The 23330-nt window shown below is 34.5% G+C and overlaps 1 protein-coding gene across 3 annotated transcripts in view, besides 1 other annotated feature; it reads right to left on the bottom strand.

Annotated features, from left to right (window-relative positions):
- CSRNP3 (cysteine and serine rich nuclear protein 3) overlaps positions 1-23330 on the bottom strand; it is a 219710-nt gene that overhangs the window by 150532 nt on the left and 45848 nt on the right. For all 3 annotated transcript variants that reach the window (XM_047445908.1, XM_024453155.2, NM_001172173.2), the window contains one exon: positions 20915-21003. The gene's annotated coding sequence lies outside the window, so the exon portion shown is untranslated. The remainder of the gene's footprint in view (positions 1-20914; positions 21004-23330) is intronic.
- Positions 9229-9861: an enhancer, noted in NCBI's record as "NANOG-H3K27ac-H3K4me1 hESC enhancer chr2:166385525-166386157 (GRCh37/hg19 assembly coordinates)". NCBI's record gives its function as "activates a minimal SCP1, AML or CMV promoter by ChIP-STARR-seq in primed H9 embryonic stem cells {active_cell/tissue: H9 hESC(primed)}" and the evidence as "EXISTENCE:reporter gene assay evidence [ECO:0000049][PMID:30033119]".

Genomic DNA, 23330 nt, shown 5'->3' with positions numbered 1-23330 from the left:
CAGGTACCTAGGAATGGCAAAATGCAAGATGCTTCATAAGTGAGAAGTGTATCTCTAAGACAGTGTTCACAAGTGTATTGCTACATGCCAGAAAATATGTCAAGACTCAATGCAAAGATAAATAATTTCATTATTTAATTAAGAGGGGGAGGAGGCACTTCAACAGAAAGTAAGGGAATAGAATATCTATTTCTATTACTGGAGATGACTATGAAAAAAATGGGAGAAATGTCAAGGCAAGATACTAGGGAAGATGCCATTGAAAATGTCAATAATTCATTTCAAAAGCAATTCCACACAATGGCTCTTTCAGTCCATATGGAAATAAGAAAGAGATATGTCCTTTCTTCGCCATGAGTTGTGAGAGACTGGATGGAAGTGGGGACACTGGGTAAATGGGATAGAATACGCACCTAGCTAGTTCATGAAGTATACGGGAAAGGAGAGGCAGCAGATATAATCTTCAAAGAAGGAGAAAGCTAGTGAGAATCACGAAGGTATCACTGAAAATTAGAATCCCACAGCCTCAAAATGGCCTGTCCCACTTTCCTACTGGTTTTGGGGAAAATAGCACAATTAGAGACAGGGTGGTATGTAGTAGTAATAATAATTAATAATAATAAAAGGAATTATACAAAGTGTCATGGGAATTGCACATAAGAAAAGCTTAATTAACTGGATTTCTCTCAGGGGTATTTTTATATGCAGATATTCCTGTGTTGTGGGATGAATAATCTTGCCTCTTTAAGGAATTGTAGCCACCAGTGAACTGCTGAAGGTACTGCTGGAGCAGTGGGTCCTTGCTAATAATGCTAAAGATACAGGCCAACTCTGTTTTCTTTCTTTATCCACAAACACTCTAGTTTTACTTTTCTCATCTGTCCTCAGGAGCTGAAGGGAAAAAAAAAGCTCAGTAGTTTCATCAAACAGGGGCTACCTCTTCTTCATTTAAGATTCTCAGTGCCTGTGCACATGGTAGACAATAAATGTTTCTGAATTGAACAAATCAAAAAGAAAATGGAAGGCAAGTGGTAAATCTAGGTCATAAATTTAATTAAGGTAAGGAAAAGAAACTCTAAGATCAATACAAAGAGAAGAAAATAGAAATGGGAGTGTAGAGAAAGGGAAAAGCAAGAGAAAAGAAGTATGATAACTTGAAAAGGACACAGTTACAGAAAAGAAAGTTTGGAGTGAACAATATAATGATATTTCTTTGATGTACTATAAATGAAATTTTTAAAAAAATTGTGAGCTCTCTGACAGGAGGTGTTACACTCTGAATAATTGCTAATAATTCTTAACAAATCAATGTAAAGGTAATAATAATTTTTCCATTTACACTTATAAAACTGACACATTAATTGATGATAATAAAACCTTTTCTTTGAGCTACTTATAATATGACATTGATTTGATAGATCAGATAAATAGCCTTCATTATATATCTAGGATGCAGGGATATTTTCATCTGGAAAATTCAAGGTGAGGTTCCTGGCGTTAAGGGCTTTTAGGTCCCCTGTGGTTCACTCTCTGAATGTCTTTACCAACAAATCTGTAAAGCTCAGTATTCACCAGGTCAGGATCCATAAACCCACTGGCATTCAGTGAGTAGCTTCTTTCACCCTTCCTTTGTCCCTGTGCCATAAACAGGAAAAAAAAGCATGAAGTTGAATGTGTCAGTAACAGTTGGGTTTGTTAGCCACCATCCCTCGCTCCTGACATTTAAAGAAGGTGACTTATCTTCTGTCCTGGGCAGCAGAGACAATAGAATGATGCAAAAAATAAGAGATCTGGACTGCTGTGGATGGTTCTTTTGGAGAGATAAAGGGAGGAAAGGGAAGGCAGAGTTTCCTGTTTGAGTGTTTGTTTTATGTATCCTGGTTTCAATTTCCCTTTGGAGAATACCATACACAGGATACATACGGAAGCAATGACTATAGCCAGTGCAGCATGTGGTCTTATGGCAGATCTTAATATATATTAATTAATGTTAATCCATATTATTTTATTCATCTATTTAATTGAAAACACAATTTAAAATCTTGTTATCCTGCAATATAACATTTAATGTATTCAATAACTGGCACACATGAAAGAACTACATATAGTGGGTTGTGATTAAATATTACTTTTGGAAGAATGAGCAGATTCTGCCAGAAGTATCTCTCCATGGCAGAGTCAGAATTCAAAAAAATCTTACATACATTTTCTATTCACTGCATTGAGTTGAAGAACTTGACACATGCTTAACATTACACGCTCTAGAAATCCTAAAAGTAATTTTATAAAGGTGAGGTCAATAAACACCCAGAAGAATATAAAAATCTTAGAGACCATCGTTATTTACTTGTCACCTGACAAAACCAATACTTTAAATAGTAAGGTGTGGTTTTTATGTTGTCATTGAGTACTAGCATGTTTTTTGACAGGCAGAATCATGTGAAAGCCATATTCAGCTGAAATTTATGGAAACATTGTGGAAACCTTAGTCAGATCAACTCTTAGGAAAGAAATAAAAACCATAATCAGATGCACTTGGAAGAAACTTGTTTAAGCATGGTTAATATTTATAACTAGGTTAACAAGAGTAATCTGAGGTCAGATGAATCTGCATTTTCAAACTCTGAGGCTGCCAGTACTGAACTAATAACAAATAGAATACATAAGACGCTATTATATTTAAACTGAAAAAAGCTTAGAACAGTTGTGTTGACAATATTTGGTTGAGATTTAGTTACAATGGCTTTGGAAGTATATTATTGGCACACAAATGTGCATATAGCTTGGAGTTCAAAACCAGACTGTCCTTCATATCTCTAGTGTTAAGAACATTATTTTAAAGTAGAACCAGGGAACTATGGATGAATGACCTCTGATTTTACTTGCAAACTTTTGTGTACATTTTTCTGAGAAGAGAAGTCATTGTTTCGTGGGAAACAGAAATTTTCAAATCCTAATAATTCTGGTGTTTCTAGAATGACTAAATATGGCATTAAATCAACAGTGTAACTATATATCATACTGTCAGCTTCCCATGTGGATTTTATAACATCAGCCTCACCATACTTAATTTAGTTTCTTTCATCTAGCAGGTTCTCAATATGTTTGCTATTGATAATGATGACAGTAGTCCAAGCCATGATCTCATTTTCCAGACTGTGTTCCCCTCTTCATTTTCAAGTTCCTCTCTAGGCCAGCAAGATTTTTATTCTCTCTCATCATAGCAATAAACCTGTCATTGTGATCACGTCAGACATAAAATTTGCCAAGGCCAGCACACAAATTCCTTTCCCTGCAAGTAAGCTTGCCTCATTCTTGATTCTATCCTTGATGACGGAAGGCCATCTTGTATATCATCTGTCCATTTGTAGACTAAATGGTCTACAAGGAAAGGGCATCTAAATTTTGCCAAGCTTATTTGTAACCCACTGCCTAGTTTGTGATTAAGGCTGAGATGACAAGGTTTTCTTCCTAGCAGCAGAAGGAATATGTTCTTTTTTTCCTCCCAGAACAGGTTATTACAGAGTTTTAAAATGTAGGTCAAAGAAAAAAAAAAAAAGAACAAGCTAAAGTATTTAGAATATACCTAGTCCCCAGCATACTACTTTTCATGAAGCTCCAAATATTTCTCTTCTTATGTTTACAAAAAATATGTATCTAAATATTTAAGTGTTTTTCTTCCTCCTAAGGATGAGTCATATTTAGCAATTTTACCTATATCTCTAAAAATGCATTTTATTTAAATAAGAAAACAAACATCAAAAAGCTGGTAAACATAACTAACAAGTATTTAAATTTGGACTATATTACATACCATTATTCTTACAGTATCAATAGCCAAGCCAAGTCTCAAGTATAATATAGAAAAGTGGTTTCTCATCTGATAATTTTTTATAGAAAGTTTTGGTGACTTAAACATCTGCATTTACACTTTTTATTATGTGTTATATATACTTGCTTTAATAATTTAAATGTTACAGAAATATAGGTTTAGAATATAAGAAACCCACTATAATCCCATCCAATCAAGGACAACTTCTATTATCAGTTTGATAAATATTATTAATGTACTAAGATATTATTATTTTAATATTATGGGATTGTTTTTTAAAGAAACTTGAAAATATTTCACCACTTTCTTTTTTCACTTAATATTTACTTGATGTTTTTCCATGTCAGTGTATATTAGAACCACTTTATTTTTTTATTAAAGAGCTATATAATATTTCTTTATAAGAATTTATGATAGTTTATTAAATCAACACCTTATTGATAGATATTCAGAAGTTTTTTCAATTTTTTACTCACAACCAATGTGTCAGTGAACATTCTCTATGCACCTGTATGAGTCCTTCTGTAGAATGGCTGCAGACATATGGAAGATTCAAAGGAATTAGTGTTTTAACAAATATTTCTAAACATATTCCAAAAGTATTGTAAAGAATTTACATGTTCACCAGTAATATATAAAAGAATCTGTCCTACACACTTTTCAGTTTTTTTAAACTCATTCAATAGCAACTTTCTAAAGCAGACGTCACAAACTCAGATGACTTCAGAAACAGATAGATACCAAAAAATGTGCATCAGCACAGAGTAAAAAATGGGAAGTAGTAGAAATTCAGCAAATTTAATTTTAGTAAATATTATGAGGGCCAAAACAAACATATTTCAGTTCTCAGGTTGCCAGTTTTCAGCCCTTGTCTTAATGGAATACATCTAGTTTTGATTTTATAAAGCACAGAATTTCCTTTACTTGAGAAAGCAATACAACCTTTGATGAGATGATAAATTTCACTGGATACATCTTATTTTTACCTTATTTTCTTTCTTTACTTTTGCTTCAAAATTTACAGTTATAAGAAGAATTCATTGTTTCCTAGACAGGATTCATTATATGTTGTATTAATTTTTATCAATGCAAATCTTCTGTAACAGATATGTTGAAAACAGTAACATTTATTGTCTTATATTTCCCCATTTATAAAAAGTTTTCTTACACTTATCAACTTGCTAGAAAGCCTTCAAACTCACATACAAGATTATTTTAATACTCTTACTAGTCCCGTATCAGTAATAGAGAAAAATAAGAAAATAAACTACTTGTCTTAAACATAAGCAATATGCTGCTAAGGTTTATATTGAACCTACCAAAGCATCCTTGAATAGAAAAAAAGAAATATCATTATTTTAGCTTGACAAAAAACAGAAGAGAAAAATTCTTGTGTCCTTTCAATAACAGTGGTTAGCTTGTGGTCTGTGAGAAAGGGTGAAGGCCAGGGAGAAAATTGGTTCTGCTCTCATTTTTCTAGTCCCACTGCATCAATAAACCTCTGGAAGTTTCAACACAGGGCACACAATGTGAGCATGGAGCAGCTTGGCTTCTCAGCACTTTGTTATGTCCTTTAACCTTATGAGATTGTCAGTAAAGATGGCTAAGTAAGGGATTCCCATTGCTACAGTGTAAATGGAGGATTGGCTTTCAAAGCAGAATAGCTCCTCCATCAATTTGAGATTGGAGGGTGAAAACGATTAGGAAAGTGAGTTTGGAAATGAGTAGTTATTCTAATTGAACTTTTGTATTTACAACTGTTATTCATGCCATATTTTTTTCTTCAGTGACTTAAAAAATAAAACACCTACACATAAAATGAGGCATAAAACTGTAGGCATTTTTTCAATACTTATGATTTCTATTTAACAGAAATGTTGAAGCTACCAACTCTACTGGATGTAAAAGAAAGTTACACAATGTTGACAAATGGAGATCAAACCCCTGTTGAAGAAAATTTCTGAAATGTTCACATTTAAAATATACCATATTATCCTGCCTTGAAAAATCATTTTAGGGAAAATAAGAATTTTCACATCCCTTGTAAGTTGGATTCCTAGGTATTTTATTCTCTTTGAAGCAATTGTGAATGGGAATTCACTCATGATTTGGCTCTCTGTTTGTCTGTTATTGGTGTATAAGAATGCTTGTGATTTTTGTACATTGATTTTGTATCCTGAGACTTTGCTGAAGTTGCTTATCAGCTTGAGGAGATTTTGGGCTGAGATGATGGGGTTTTCTAGATATACAATCATGTCATCTGCAAACAGGGACAATTTGACTTCCTCTTTTCCTAATTGAATATCCTTTATTTCCTTCTCCTGCCTGATCACCCTGGCCAGAACTTCCAACACTATGTTGAATAGGAGCGGTGAGAGAGGGCATCCCTGTCTTGTGCCAGTTTTCAAAGGGAATCCTTCCAGTTTTTGCCCATTCAGTATGATATTGGCTGTGGGTTTGTCATAGATAGCTCTTATTATTTTGAGATACGTCCCATCAATACCTAATTTATTGAAAGTTTTTAGCATGAATTGTTGTTGAATTTTGTCAAAGGCCTTTTCTGCATCTATTGAGATAATCATGTGGTTTTTGTCTTTGGTTCTGTTTATATGCTGGATTACATTTATTGATTTGCATATGTTGAACCAGCCTTGCATCCCAGGGATGAAGCCCACTTGATCATGGTGGATAAGCTTTTTGATGTGCTGCTGGATTCGGTTTGCCAGTATTTTATTGAGGATTTTTGCATCGATGTTCATCAAGGATATTGGTCTAAAATTCCCTTTTTTGGTTGTGTCTCTGCCAGGCTTTGGTATCAGGATGATGCTGGCCTCATAAAATGAGTTAGGGAGGATTCCCTCTTTTTCTCTTGATTGGAATAGTTTCAGAAGGAATGGTACCAGCTCCTCTTTGTACCTCTGGTAGAATTCGGCTGTGAATCCATCTGGTCCTGGACTTTTTTTGGTTGGTAAGCTATTGATTGTTGCCTCAATTTCAGAGCCTGTTATTGGTCTATTCAGAGATTCAACTTCTTCCTGGTTTCGTCTTGGGAGGATGTATGTGTCGAGGAATTTATCCACTTCTTCTAGATTTTCTAGTTTATTTGTGTAGAGGTGTTTATAGTATTCTCTGATGGTAGTTTGTGTTTCTGTGGGATCGGTGGTGATATCCCCTTTATCATTTTTTATTGCGTCTATTTGAGTCTTCTCTCTTTTCTTCTTTATTAGTCTTGCTAGCGGTGTATCAATTTTGTTGATCTTTTCAAAAAACCAGCTCCTGGATTCATTAATTTTTTGAAGGGTTTTTTGTGTCTCTATTTCCTTCAGTTATGCTCTGATCTTAGTTATTTCTTGCCTTCTGCTAGCTTTTGAATGTGTTTGCTCTTGCTTTTCTAGTTCTTTTAATTGTGATGTTAGGGTGTCACACCATGAAATACTATGCAGCCATAAAAAATAATGAGTTCATGTCCTTTGTAGGGACATAGATGAAACTGGAAACCATCATTCTCAGCAAAATATCACAAGGACAAAAAACCAAACACCGCATGTTCTCTCTCACTCATAGAGAATCTGAAACATGCAGATGAAGAATGACCTACTTGAAAATTTACCAGCCAAGCCTGTAAGCTGTGTAGAGTAGTGTCAACACAAAGGAAATAACAATTCAAGTGGATTCCAATGTGCAACCGCAGTCATTAGTATGGATTGGTGTCAAACTTTCAAGCATTTGCCTTATTTATTGAACAACCTAATAATTCAAAATGGTAATGGGAAGAGGGTGGAGTAGGAAGATAAGGATAGACTCTGAAACCAAGGTCCTTAGGGCTTCTATCTGAATTTCAGAATTACTGTCAAATAAATATTTATTGGTATCCTTTCTCTTGTATGTAGACAATAAGTATACATACAGATAGCTGTCTAAAAATTAAGTGTTAAGCTGGAATTAGATATTGAAACTGAGTACCAATATTATCTTTAGTCAATTTCCCTTAGGATAGTATTTTGTGAAGAGAATATATTATTCATGTGCATATTAATTAAAGCTTTTAAAATGATCACTGAAAAAAAAAAGAATTTTATGGAGTTATTTTAGGTGTTCTAAATTACAGTCCCATACCTTAGTTTTAATTTTTTTCTTAATGAGAAATCTCTCATACTATACATTTTCTTCTTTTGATTTTTAAAGATAATCACGAGTGATATAAAAATAACTTTGTTTCAGGAAATGTATGCCTTAGAGTAAGAAAGAATTGTCCAAGAGTAACACAAATTTGTAGATATTTATTTTGGCTTGATGTTAAAAATCTAAAGAAACAACTAAATTGGAATCAGCTGTGCTAAAAATAGAGAAGCAGCAGAAAAGATAGGACTATTATATTTTATAAGGAAAAAAATCCTAGAGAGGCTCCTAAATTCATCATGTTCATGAAGACTTTTTAAAAAACTAATTAGGAGAGGAAAAATTCCTTCCAACTATCTCACGTTATATGCAAATACATACATTCAACTCTACCCTGAAAACAATGCTAAAATACATATAGCTTGTAAATCTTTTATTCATTTGTGTATCCATTCATCCTTACACAAATCATAAAGATGGTTTTTCTTTACATTTTTTCTGCATTCTTCATCTGGAATTGTAAATAACAGGAGTTACAATTTTATTAAAATTGGGAGAGCCATTTGCTATATGATAATCACACTTATTTCACTGGAATTCTCTCTGGTTTAGACTTCTGGCCCCTTTTTTCAGATTAGTAATTGAAACTGATTGACAGATACCCCAAGGCATATATAAATACTATATAAATTGGGGCAGCTCCTTGTAAAGGGAATTTTGAAAGGACTTTTGTAGTTCTGAGCTTGGAGAATTGAGGTTACCAAACATACTTTACCTTCAAAATTTCATTTGCTTTAAAAATAACTACTCCCTTTTATAAATCCTCATAGATCTTCTAGTCTATGACAATGTTGCATTTTAGCTACATTTGGCAAACTACAAAGATACATCTGTTAAAACTGCATTCCTCATGATTTTAAAAAACATTTGCAATCATGAAAGTTCTCTTAGCATTAATTTTCTTCTCTATTACTTTCCATTTCTTTCTCAAATTCTCGCTAACTCTCATACACATCAAGTTTAGTAGGCAAGATAATTTTCTCTCCTAATCCAAATCTTTAAACACTTCACAAATACCTTTATAGACAGGAATAGGAGTTTGCTAAAATTTTAATTTTGGTTAAATTCAACAAAGTCACCTGTGTGCCCAACACTATGCTATATGTTCTGAATAAATAAGGCATATTTCTTGCCCTTGAAAAACTTCAGAGCAATGGTCTTCCAGCATTTTAAATTTTAAATCATACATCCACGCCGGTTTGAAAAAAAGAGAAGTTTCTGCATGCACTCCTATGCATGTGTGTATATGTATTTATACATAACATCATGTATTAGTATACAAGTGAATTAGTTCATATCCATGCTGCCAATAAAGACATACCTGAGAGGGGAAGAAAAATAGGTTTAATGAACACACAATTCCACGTGGTTGGAGAGGCCTCACAATCATGGCAGAAGGCAAAAGGCACTTCTTACCTGGTGGTGGCAAGAGGGAATGAGAGCTTGGGCAGGGAAACTCCCGCTGTTAAAACCACCAGATCTCATGAGACTTATTCACTATCATAACAACAGCACAGGAAAGACCTGCTGCCATGATACAATTAACTCCCACAGGGTCCCTTTGGGAATTCAACATGAAATTTGGGTGGAGACACAGCCAAACCACATCATTTCGCCCCTGGCCCCTCCCAAATCTCATGTCCTCACATTTCAAAACCAATTATGCCTTCCCAACAGTTCCCCCAAAGTATTAGCCATTCTGACTGGTGTGAGGCAATATCTCATTCTGATTTTAGTTTGCAGGCAGAAGCCAAGCAGTGGGAGCAGGCACTTCTGAGCCTGTGAGGGCAGGGGGGCCTTCCTGGGCCCCCAAGAATGCAGGGACCCCTGGGTCCAAAGCCGTGGTTTGGGCAGCTGCAACTGCACCCAGGAGGGCAGGGCTCCCCCCTGCTCTGGCCCCAGGATCACAGGGATGCCCAAGTCCACAGCTATGGCTTGGGTGGCTACAGTGGCACCCGGGGAGCTCCTGCCCCAGCTTGGAAGGAATGGGGCTCACACTTGTCCCCAGCTCCTGCCAGACCCATGGAGCATGCAGGCCCAGCTGCACCTCCCTGCTGCAGCCGGCATGATAGCAGCGGCCACTCCAGATGACCTGCTGCTGCCATCACTACCTGACTTCAAAGTATATTACAAAGAAATAATAGTAAAAACAGTATGGTACTGACATAAAAATGGAAAAATTGACCAATAGAATAAAATAGAGAAACCAGAAATGAACTTAAAAATCCATGGTCAATTAATATTTCACAAAGCTGCCAAGAGCACACAATGGGGAATAGACAGTCTCTTTAATAAAGAGTGTTGAGAAAACTGGATATCCACATGCAGAAACATGAAACAACCTTTATCCTTTTATCTCATATTCGTTACAAAAGTCAACTCAAAATGGATTAAAGTCTTAAACCTAAGACCTGAAACAGTAACTGCACTAGAAGAAAGCATAGGAAAACACCACATGACACTGGTCTGGGCAATTATTTTTTTGGATTTGATTCTAAAAGATCAAGCAACAAAAGCAAAAATAGACAAAGGGAATTATATCAAACTTACAAGTTTTGCACAGCAAAGGAAGCAGTTAATAGGATGAAGAAATAATATGCAAATTAGGATAAAATATTTGCAATCAAAACATCTGATAGGGAGTTAATATCCAAAATATGTAAGGAACTCAAAAAACTCAATAGCTAAAAAACAACCTGATTAAAAGATAGGCAAAGGACTCAACATTTCTATCAACAGTATATGACTGGGAAACAAATATGTAATAAAAAAACTTTGCTAATTTATAGACATAATATTACATCATTTTATTTCTATTTCTTTGACTACTGTTCAGTATAAAGTTTTTATTATTTATTAGCTCTTCCTCCTCTCCCTCTCCTTTCTCTCTCTCTCTCTTTTTTCTCTTTCTTTCTCTCATATCTCTTTCTCTCTCTCTCTCTGTCTCCCTGTCTCTTTCTTTCTATTGCCCTTTGTTTTCTTTTAGCCCATTTTTCTACTGGGGTCTTGTTGATCTTCTCATTAATTTGTGGATGTCTTTAAATAATAAGGCTACTCAAACTCCACTGTCATCTATGAAATAAACATACTTTAAGTAGTTGGCCATTTATCTCTTTATGTTGTTTATGATTGTCCATCCCTTCATATTCTATACCTACTTTTAAAAATAATAATTAGATGTGTTTTCAGGAAATTTGGAGCCTACTGAAAAATACCAAGAAGGCAATAAATCTAATACATAGCCAACCATCCAGACATACCGATTTAATTTATGCATGTGTGTGTGTGATATTTATATGTGTGTACATATATAATTATCCTTTCTTACATGCACATACATCATTTAAGAGTACAAATAGTGGCCGGGCACGGTGGCTTATGCTTGTAATCTCAGCACTTTAGGAGGCTGAGCAGGACGGATCACGAGGTCAGGAGATCGAGACCATCCTGGCTAACATGGTGAAACGCCGTCTCTACTAAAAATACAAAAAATTAGCTGGGCGTGGTGGTGGCACCTGTAGTCCCAGCTACTCGGGAGGCTGAGGCAGGAGAATACTGTGAACCTGGGAGGCAGAGCTTGCAGTGAGCTAAGATAGCTCCACTGCACTCCAGCCAGGGCAACAGAATGAGCCTCTGTCTCAAAAAAAAAAAAAAAAAAAAAAAAAGTACAAACAGCGTCATACTTTAAGTGTGGTTTTCATAAACTTATTTTTCACTTATGTGTATATTTCAGATAGCTCCCTAATCATAAAATATGCTGTGAAAACACCTTTATTTAATACCTCAGAAGGTTTACTTTTCATAGCTATTTAATAATTTATTTAATGACTTCCTCATTTTTGGACATGCAAATGTTTCCCATTTTATTACTTTAAATATTATCTCAACAAACCTCTTTGTACACATTGCTTTGTGTTTATAATTATTGCCTTAATCTTTTTTTATATTTGGAATTCCTAAGTCAGAGAGCATGCAGACTTTTAAGATTTATGATACATAATGACAAACAGTCTTCTAGAAAAGTTGAACCAAATTCCTGGCCCATCTCTGTAGTATGATATGGTCCATTTCTCCACATCCTCATCAGTGTTGAATGTATTTATGATAGCCTACATTGAGTGTTTACAATGTGCCAGACTCTATGCCTACTTTATTGATGAAGTATCTGAACATCAATAAAGTTTCAGCAGTTTGCCTAAGTCCTCACAGATAATTGGACAGTAGGGGTATACTCAAAGTTCAATAAGACCTTAACAGTGATGCTCTCTCAGTATGCTATATTGTTTCCCAAAGCTTTATATTTTCAAATGACCATTATAGAGCAAATGTTTTTGATTCCTAATTATGTTGAGTCTTTTAATTTTTAAGTTTAGAGGTCATCAGAACTTTTGTGTGAAAAGCTCTCACAAGCCTTTGCCAATTATCCTAATGAGATTCATATTTATTTTTAATGATATCTAGTAATACTCCATATTTTAATAATGTTGGCCATTTGTATCATATATGCAGTGAATATTTTTTCAAGTGTTTTATTTTGGAAATAGAATTCAGAGAATTTTCTAATGTGCATAGGTAAATTTTCCGATCAAAATCTCAGCAGGCTTTTTTGTAGATATCTACAAGCTAACTCTAAAATTCACAGTGTAATACAAAGGAATTAGAATACCAAAGCAATTTTGTAAAAGAAGAGGATTCACACTATATGATTTCAAGACTTACTGTAAAGCTACTGTAATAAAGACAGTGTGATAATAGAAAAAGTATAAATACATACGTCAGTCGGACACAATAGAGACTAGAAATATACCTGCACAAATGTGATTGATTTTCTGACAAAAATGCAAAGTCAATTTAGTGGATAAAAAATAGTCTTTTATAAAAAAGTGATGAAACTATTGGATGTCCGTAAGCACATAAGTAAAATTGTGAACTTCAATCTTTCATAACATGCAAAAATTAACCCCAAACAGATCATATGACTAAATACAAAACATAAAATTATAATACATTTAGAAGAAAACATAGTTGAAAATCATTGTGACCTTGGGTTAAGCAAAGACCTCTTAGATATAACATCAGGCTGGGAGTGGTGGTTCATGCCTGTTAATCCCAGCACTTTGGGAGGCTGAGGCAGGTGGGCCACTTGAGGTCAGGAGTTCAAGACCAGCCTTGCCGAGATGATGAAACCCCGTCTCTACTAAAAATACAAAAATTAGCCGAGCGTGGTGTCACACGCCTGTAGTCCCAGCTTTTTGGGAGGCTGAGGCAGGAGAATCACTTAACCCAGGAGGTGGAGTTTACAGTCAGCCTAGATCGCACCACTGCACTCCAGCCTGGACGACAGAGCAAGACTCTGTCTCCAAAAAAAAAAAAAAAGAAGAAGAAGAAAAAAAAGAAATATATAAACATCAAAATCATAATCCACAGAAGAAAAAAACTGATATCATGACTTTACCAAATTTAAAACTCTAAAAGGATGTGGTCAAGAAAACAAAAAAGCATGCCACAGACAGAGAGAAAATGTTTGCAAATCACCTATTTCCTACAGGATTTTTATGCAGAATATTTATAAAGAACTCTCAAAACTCAAAAATAGAAAACAACTTAGTATAATTTGGGCAAAATGTATGAACAAACACTTCACAAAAGAAAACAAACAGATGGCGAATAAGCAGAAGAAAACATGTTCAATGTTATTATCCATTAAGAATATGCAAATTAAAACCAGAGTGATAATTAGAATGGTTAAAATAAGTAAAATAAAAACTGATAATACCAAGTGTCAGTGAAGGCATGGAGCAATGAGAATATTCATCCTTTGCTGGTAGAAATTTAGGATGGTTTGTCATTTTGGGAAACAATTTTGCAGTCTGAGAAAGCTAAACATACACTCATCATGTGATACATAATCCCTCTAGGGTATTAGCCCATGATAAATAAAAACTTCAGTTCTCACACAAATTTCTACGTGGATATTTATAGCATATTCAAACCACCAAAAACTAAACAACCTAAATATCTTTAAGTGGATGGATGAATAAACAAGCCATGGTACAGTCATACAAATAAATGCTACTTAACAATACTAAGGAAATAATTATTGATACATGCAAGAGCATGAATGAATCTCAATGCATTATGAAAGAGGTCAGATGGTAAAGATTACATTCTCTGTGTTCCATTGATAAGACATTCTAGAAAAGGCAAAACTGTAGTGACCTAGAGCAGATTAGTTGCCAGGGATGAAGGTAAGGATAAGTTGACAGGGGGAAGGTCAGGGAACAGTAATGGAAATGTTCTGTAATTTGATTGTTGCGAAAGTTACATGACTCTGTACAACTGTCAAAACTCACAAAACTGTACACCAAGAAGTGTGAATTTTACTGTTTATAAGTTTAAAAACGAATAAATGACTTGGCTTTCTTGCATTGCTTAAATACTTTTCTAGGCCAAAGTCACATAAATACCTATAAGCTATTGAATTTATTCAATGTTCAATAATATTTTAAAATATTATTTTAAATCTTTATTTAAATTTTACTTTAATATTGTGTAATGCACAGATCACACCTTATTTTCCCCCAAGTAGTTAAAGAATTGTTTTAGTACCATCTACTCAATAAGCCATCGTCCTTCCCTCCTCCTGCTATTTGAATTGTCTCTTTTATCAGACACTAATTATGTGTACCTGGGTTTGTTAATCGACTTTCCTTGGAGAGCTTCTTCATTGAGTTATGATTATTTTGGCAGTGCACTTTATGATCACATGTATGGTTTTGGATTCTTTATTCTATTTTATTGCTCTGATGTATGCTTTTGTGTGTGTCCCTGTTAGACATTGACACCCCATAGACATTTCGCATAACTTGTAATTCTGTAGTTTAGCTGAAGAATAGGGTTGGAGGTATTGACCTCTATGTCATTAACAAAGTCATGATAACAGCTTTGCTTGATTAGGAAGAACAAGAAGAACCAAAGAGCAATAGAATGAAGATGGATCTCCAGGGAGCACTGTCATTTGAATAGGAGTAAAATATCAAGAACTTTTGTGGGCATGTTGTTTGACCTCTGTAGTGTTTACTGTTTTCAGTTAGCCAACTTCACTCATTTATATTACCTATAGCCACCTATTGGGGTTTGAGTTTGTGGTTTGTGACTTTCTGGATGGAAGAATAGAGACAGAAGAGCCAGTGAGAGGGGTCTTTACAAAAAGATCCACAAGATGTGAGGGAAATCAAGAGGGAGCAGTGAAAGAAGAAAAATGTAGTTAACAATGTCAAATACCCCTGAGAGAATCAGTCAAGATAAGGGCTGTGGGTCATCCGTGCCTTTAGAAAGTGCATGCTCTGTTAAATGGGGTTAGAAATCAGATTGCACTGTGCTGAGGAGTAACTGAATCTTAGAAGTTGGAGATAATGAATGTAGACTACTGCTTGGAGAGCTTGAATGAGTTGAAGAGGACAGAAATTGGATGGTGGTGAAGAAAGAGGTTGGTTTGTTTTTGTTTGTCAATTTGCTTTTTTGGATAGGAGTGTGAAGAACACGAATGGCTGAAGGAAAAGGGCTAGCAAGGAAGAAAAAGTTGGAAATAAAGGACAAAAAAGAAACAATTAATGGCAAAAGGTCTCAGCCTCAGTGATGGGAAGTAAAATCAAACATAGGCTTTGCCTTGAATAGCAGGAAGGACTCCTGAGCCCTCTTAGAGATTGAAGGAAAGAAAAAATGTTTATAGACCTAGTTGGTTTGATGCTGGAGGGGATTGCAAAGATTCACAAGTAGTTTCCACACAATGACCTCAATTTTCTTGTTAAAATAGCAGGTGCACTAATCGTGAAAGGGAGAGATTGTGTGGCTTGAGTGGGGTAATGAACTTTTGAAATAGTGGCCGACCACAGTCAGAATGAAAGGATTAGTGAATGCTATTGAGGGGCTACCTCAGATTAGAACACCATAAATCTGCAGAGTGGTATAATTGCTCCTGTAGCACTCATGAATGTGAGTACAAGAAAGGATTCACTATAGCTCGGGTTCATGGCTGCATGTACTGTGGAAGAAAGGAGTGGCTGGAGAGCTGTGGGAGGTAAGCTGCTAGTTTCCAAGCAAACTTCCAAGCACAGCTAGCAGAACATGGAATTATTAAAGGCACTAAAAGTCTAATTTTATTCTAAGCAAAAGAAGTGAAAGGAAAAGAGTTTATTACATTTGTAACCTAACTTCACCCCGCTGATTACATTAGTGAATGGCATTGAGGGGCTAGCTCAGTCTCAATGTAATCACCCCAATGATTGCATTAGGGGTGAAGTCAGGTTACATATGTAATAAACTCTTTTCCTTTCACTTCACTTGCTTTTACCTTATTTCTTCTTTACCATTGTTTTCCCACTTATGTTATATTGTCGTATTATTTTGTAAAACATGTTTTAGATACAAGGCCGAGTATAAGCAAATAAAAGGAAAATAAAAACATACAGATGATCAAATAGAGGTGAGTTTCACTTTAGCAAGGGAAACTGATATTTAAAGTGTATCTGTTAAGCGGTTTTTTGTTTGTTTGTTTGTTTGTTTGAGACAAGGCCTCACTCTGTCACCCAGGCTGGAGGGCTGGAGTGCAGTGGCATGATCTCAGCTCACCACAACCTCCACCTTCCAGGTTCAAGTGATTCTCATGCCTCAGCCACTTGAATAGCTGGGACTACAGACACACACCACTGCACCCAGCTAATTTTTTGTATTTTTTGTAGAGATGGGGCTTTGCCATGTTGCCCAGGCTGGTCTCAAACTCCTGGACTCAAGTGATTCACCCACCTCCACCTCCCAAAGTGCTGGGATTACAGGCACGAGCCACCATGCCTGGCCTTGTTGAGCTGTTTTAACTGAGAACAAGATGCTGGAGGTGCTAAGGAGGTTTTGTGGTTGTTGTAGTAGAGTGGATGGAAGTTTACTGAGATTATAGAAGTTAGGGCTGGCTTAACGCTTCTCTATCTGGGCTAATTTTGCTCTGAGGGGACATCGGTCAATGCCTGAAGACATTTTTGTTTGTCATAACTAAAGATGAAGTGCCAATGGCATCTAGTACCAGAAATGCTGCTAAACGCCCTACATTGCAAAGGACAGCTCTCTCCCCTCCCCCAATAAAGAATTATCTGGATCCAAATCTCAATAGTGCTGAAGTTGAAAAACCTTGGATTAGATAAATTATTTGCCAGAACGATGGAAGAATAAGAATGCTAGGAAATTACTTGGAGAATTTGAAGACAGGGTCAGAGAAGAAAGAGCCACCTAGAGCATGGGCATACCAGGTAATGTGAAATTCATGTGGGTGTTGGTTTGTGAGAGAATGGAAGAATCATTATTTGGAAAAATTCCTAGGGAACTGGATTTGTGGTACAGAGTTGCAAATGATTCCTGGGTTGGCAATTTTGTAAAGCAAATGAAGGGAGGATGAAAGCAAAGGAATTTAAAGAAAGCATATGCTATTTTCTACCTGCTTTTGAAAAGTCAAGTTTCAGTTGTCCTCAACCAGAGTTTCTAGTTCTTTCCATTGACGTTTCCAGATGAGTACAACAAAGCTCAATATTGGTTTGGGAAGAATCTATCCCTAACAGAGAAAAACTGCATGAGAAGTCTTTGTTTCCCCCATAACCTTCAACCAGCCCTCTGCATCTCTAATTTTCTTTTTCTTTTTTTTTTTGGCTTTCCCATAACAGACAACACAAGCTGTCTCTTTGTGGTTAAACTTACAGAGCTGACCATCAATTCTTTCCACAATACGGCATGTAATAAACACTCTCTACTTTGGTTAAATTAAGAAAGGCCCTCTTCTAGCCTGAGCTACAAGCAAGACCTTGTCTCTACAAAAAATTTTTTAAAAAAATTACCCAAGTGTGGTAGTGCATGCCTATAGTCTCAGCTACTTGGGAGGCTCAGAAGAATCACTTGAGCCCAGGAGGTTGAGGCTGCAGTGAGCCGAGATCCTGCTACTATGCTCCAGCCTGGGCAACAGAGAGAGACCTTGTCTCAAAGGAAAAAAAAATATGTATATATATATATATATATATATATATATATATATATATATATAATATATATATATAATATATTTCTATATATCTATTTATATATCTATAAAATAGATATATAAATATAGATAGACAGATAGATAGATAGATAGATACAGAGAGAGCCTCTAAATAATTGTGAACTTTACTTTGTGTTTCTTTTAATAATCTAATATTGGACACATGTCCTTTAGATGATATACTGCTTAAAATACCTGCCTTTTGGAAGACTGAAAAAAAATCACAATACTTAATAGATTTTGAAATCTCTTAATCCAAATTTTGTTTTGTTTATTTGCATGGCCAGATATTTAATTCACATTGACTTATCCTCAATGAAAACAAAACGACTCAACTACTTTTTCAGCATACAAAATCGGCTAAACCTCTCAACTCCAGCCAGTAAAGTCAAGACCGAATGACTTTTAAAATAACAGCACTTTATATGATGAGTTCTAAACTATAGATGGATTGCAAGAAAACAGGCAGGAGTATTTGGGCCTTCCATATTTCCAGACTCCTGTGCTCAGAACCAAACATTGAATGAAAATATTCCAACCAGATTACCATAAAAAAACCCTGATCACTCATTTGTTAATGATTGCACAAAATTGATTTAATTTCCAACTCTATATATTTTCTAATAAAAATGCACATAGATAGACCTATGTCCTTTAATATTATCTGATTTCATATACTTGTAGTAACTGTATCATCATTTCTAAAAAATAATATCTTTTCTTTCTGGTGAAATTGAAACTGATTTTACATACATTTACAACATATATCTTACTAATGATTTAGAAAACTTACCATCAGGTGTTGTATTTCATCATCCTTGTTTTTAGTGGGTACTATGTGAACAGAAGTGACATCTATCTCTTTTGTGTAAATTATGTAGTGCAAAGTCATTAGATTTATTTAAAAATTCTACCTCTGCTTACACTCTACATTTCCTTTCTTTTTTCCCTTTTCTCCATGGTACTTACAAGCATCAAACATAAGACATAATTAATTTTGTTTTTTATTACCTATTTCCATCCACTAGAATGTAATTTCCACTCAGGCAAGAATGGTTTATTTTATTCATTGCTGTCACTCCCCAGCAATCCACCCTATACCCCCATGCACATAGTAGGCACTTGACAAATATTTGTTGAATGATTATGGTTGTTATATAAATTAATTTAGCTGCTTCTCTAATGGCACAATGAGGCAAGGGATCTCTTCACTGATTTTTCAAATAAGAAGTTTACTATTTTAAATTACTTTACTTGCATTAACTTCTTAAGTCACTACCCTTTTAAAAAGGTTTTCTTGAGAAGTACAGTGCTGCGCACTTCAAGCTGAGTCTGCATTCCCACCCATTTCAAATCCCTGTACTCACCTACCTACTATTTGCATATGATCCCTTATGGATTTATAGCATTCAATCCCTTTCAAACCTACAAGTCTTTCTAGGTCATTGGGGAGACGATTTAATTCTCTGATGAGCTTAGTAAGGAAATCCAATGTACTCGAATTAAAAAAAAAATGTAGGCAATGCCACCTTTGCTCTTTTCATAGGTGATTGCACAACTATATTCTATGACATTAAATTTGCAGTTGTGTCAAGAGACTTTTCATTCCTAGAATCTCATATTTCTTACTTGTTTTATACTTCAAGAGCTAATTTAATAAAAAAATCATTTGGGTGTGGGTTGTAATGGAACGACATTCACATTGGTATAAGCTGCCAGTATTCTAGGCTAACAGAAGCTATAATGTGAAAATACAAATAATCCCCAAATAATTCCCATTTAGCTTTAGAATTAATTACATGCCCTTATAAAATTTGGCTTGTCTGTTTAATTATATGTTGCCTGAGTTAATAGTAAAATTAATTTCTAGGTAACATATTGTTTGGGAAATTTTTGAGAACAAGGACCATATCTTATTCACTTAGAAAGAACCAAAGTGTTTAGCCCATTGCTTTGCATATGCTAAGTCCTAAATAAATGAATAAACCCTTGGAAGAATGAGAAATAGATACAGATACTGAAGACATGCCTGACCAAGACAATCAAAATGAAAGATCACATTTTTTTTCATTTAAAATTATGAATAGTTGATATTGGGTCCCACAATATAAACACATCAAAAATCATCTACTTTTTCAAGGTATCCAATTAGACTAAACCACTTTAACCTACATTTATAACTTCTAAATGAATATTGTACATTAATTTGTTATTATAATAAGCTGCTTAATAATGGGTAGGCTTATTCTTCTTTTCCAGTTATATCATCCTAAACAACTTAGAAAAGATTCCCAAGATCCTCCTGTTCCTTCATATTAATTGTCATTTTATCGAAGCCACACTTTCCAATGATAGCATTATTTATTTGGCTGTAGTTAAAAAAAGTCAGGAAATAGAATTCAAGGAATTTCAGAAGGATTGCTGATTAGCTATCCTTCTAAACTACATGTATATGTGTGCATTTTGCAGCCAAAGATACAAAAGAAATGAAAAAGTCACTAAATAGGTTTATATTTAACAATCAGAAAGAAAAATTTATAGAAATGTCAAATGTTTATTTTTATGCTAATAGTGCTACCCTTTAAAATGAAGCAAATTATAAGAACCAGTAGTTCTCTATTAAGACAACTTTTTATTGTCCCTAATGAAACTAAATACTGTATGTCTGATATAAATGGATTTTTTAAAATCTTGAGGAGACTTCGTTTAAAACACATATTTTAAGTAAGACCATTTCCAATTACACATTAGAAACTTGAAACAGATGCACAGATTATATCCCAAATCTGTAAAAGCATGAGAATAATAATGTATAAACTGCTAACCTTGAGATCTCAGGAACTCCAGTATTTTCCTGAAGATTCTATGCCTCTGAAAACATATTTTCAGTCTGTTGATATTTCCTCATTTTTTCCTTAAAAAAGAAAATACGTTTCAGAATGTTATGTAAGGTTATGTTTTCAAAGAGCAAACTTACTAAAGGTGCCAACATCGTGATTACATAGGAGAAAATCAATAGAAATCTTAAACTATAAGTAAAGCATTAAATACAGAACTGAATAATCATATGCTATATAATTTAGCAAAGAAAATTTTTTCTTAGAACAATGTAGTAAATTTCTAATGATCCATACATAGTTTAACTCATTTATTTATCTGGTTTTCAATCAACAAATATTATTTGGGACAATAAGTTAAAGATATATCCATTTTATTAACCAGCATTACACTAGACTTAAGCAACTTTCTAGTCTTTAGGAGATTCATATCTTCAAAACACATAAAAATCCAGGGAAATCAACCAAAATGTTGTAGCTTTTGACAGTCAATAAAAATCACAATGAATATTTGTTAGAGTTCTTGATTTGTTTGATTTGCTTAAAGGAAACTATTTAATTATAAAATTAACTCAAATATTTATATATTCATGATTTAAGATAACTTAGGCCTTAAGAAAATTTACAAAATATTCTTTAAAATGACATACATTAACAAAAATGTTGTTCTTTAAAATTACAGTGCCGTAATTAGAAGTGATTAGTGCAACCATTTAGACAGATGATGAAACCCGGGCAGTAATGATATATACTTTTTATTTACCCAGACTAAAATGTATATAATCACTTTTTCTAAACCACTAATGAATTTTCTACTCTTGTATGTCAAGGTAATATTACCAAGTCCATATAAAAATGTAAAAATTTTCTTTAAAAATGAGATAGAGAAGCTTGTTCATTTATTATGTTTCCACAGTAGGCAGAACAGAGCTATCATTGATCATAGCCAATGACAATAGCTAGTGTAGAAATTCTACAAATATGTTACCTGAATGAACAAATACCCTACACAAGCAACTTATGCTGCTGTAATTTGAACAAACAAAATATCAAAATCTTTAAGAAAAAAATTTGTCTCAGGCAAATTGTGCCGCCAAGATTCTCTTTTTTCCTTTAAACTTTATCAATATCTACATAGATATGCTGAGATAAAGAATTGGAATAAACTGGATTAACTGTGATACAACAATAGCACAGAAATATCAAATTGTGATTGGAATTACAGAGCTAATAGAGGTTATTGAGTCAGTTTGGTTCTGAGTAACCCCAGATTTGGTAGATGAACTTAAGAAACCTCAGAAAAATGCAATCAAAATTCAATTTTATTATTTTTAATGATTTTTAGGTTTTTAAAAAATTGACAGATAACATTGTATGTTTTTATCATTTACAACATGTTTTGAAGTATATATGCATTATGGAATAGTTAATTCTAGCTAATTAATAAATTATACTACCTCATATAGTTATCATTTTTGTGGTGAGAGTGTACAGCAACCTCTCTGTACGTTTTTCAAAAATACAATATAGCATCATTAACTATAGTCACCTTGCCGTACAATTTTAGGTATAATTTTAAATATCTTAAAATTCTATTGAGAACATTATACATTCAAATGATGGCATACTGAAGACCAATGAAGATATAACTTGAATCATCCTTTGCACTTATTTTGAGCAACATCTAAGAATGGAGCTTTTCCTGTTTTCTCTGTTAAAGATGAATATCCTGAGATTACAGTTCAAGAAATTAAAAACCAACAAGCAAGCAGCAAGCAAGCATACAAACAGATCTCTGTTTGTGTCCACTGAATATAGACTTTAAAAAGTTATAAAATATTTGTGGCCGGGCACAGTGGCTCATGCCTGTAACCCCCGCACTTTGGGAGGGCAAGGCGGGCAGATCATTTCAGCTCAGGAGTTTGAGAGCAGCCTGGCCAACATGGTGAAACCTCATCTCTACTAAAAATGTAAAAATTAGCTGGGCATGGTGGTGCACGCCTGTAATTCCAGCTACTTGGGTGGCTGAAGCACAAGAATTTCTTGAATCCAGGATGCAGAGGTTGCAGTGAGCCAAGCTCGTGCCACTGAACTCCAGCCTGAGTGACAGAGCAAGACCCTGTCTCAAAAAAAAAAAAAAAAAAAAAAGAAAGGAAAAGAAAAAGATATTTGCAATTAAAACAAAATAATTAAATTAGATGTTGAGTTGCATATGTCTATAAATAGCATTCATAATTTAAGGTCAACTTTTCTCGTTAGTGAAAATAAATTCCTTATTAAATGTAATTTCTTATTAAGATACCATTTAAAATTTCATCCTAGAAATAAAAGTTTCTGCTGCCATAAAAAGAAAATGAGGATGCTATTTCGTTCAAGCTGCCTATTTTACAAACAAGAAAACTGA

The sequence above is a fragment of the Homo sapiens genome, chromosome 2 (assembly GCF_000001405.40).
Source record: "Homo sapiens chromosome 2, GRCh38.p14 Primary Assembly".
Lineage (NCBI taxonomy): Eukaryota > Metazoa > Chordata > Mammalia > Primates > Hominidae > Homo > Homo sapiens.
Note: the sequence above shows the minus strand (reverse complement) of the source record. Positions and strands in the feature narration are given on the sequence as shown.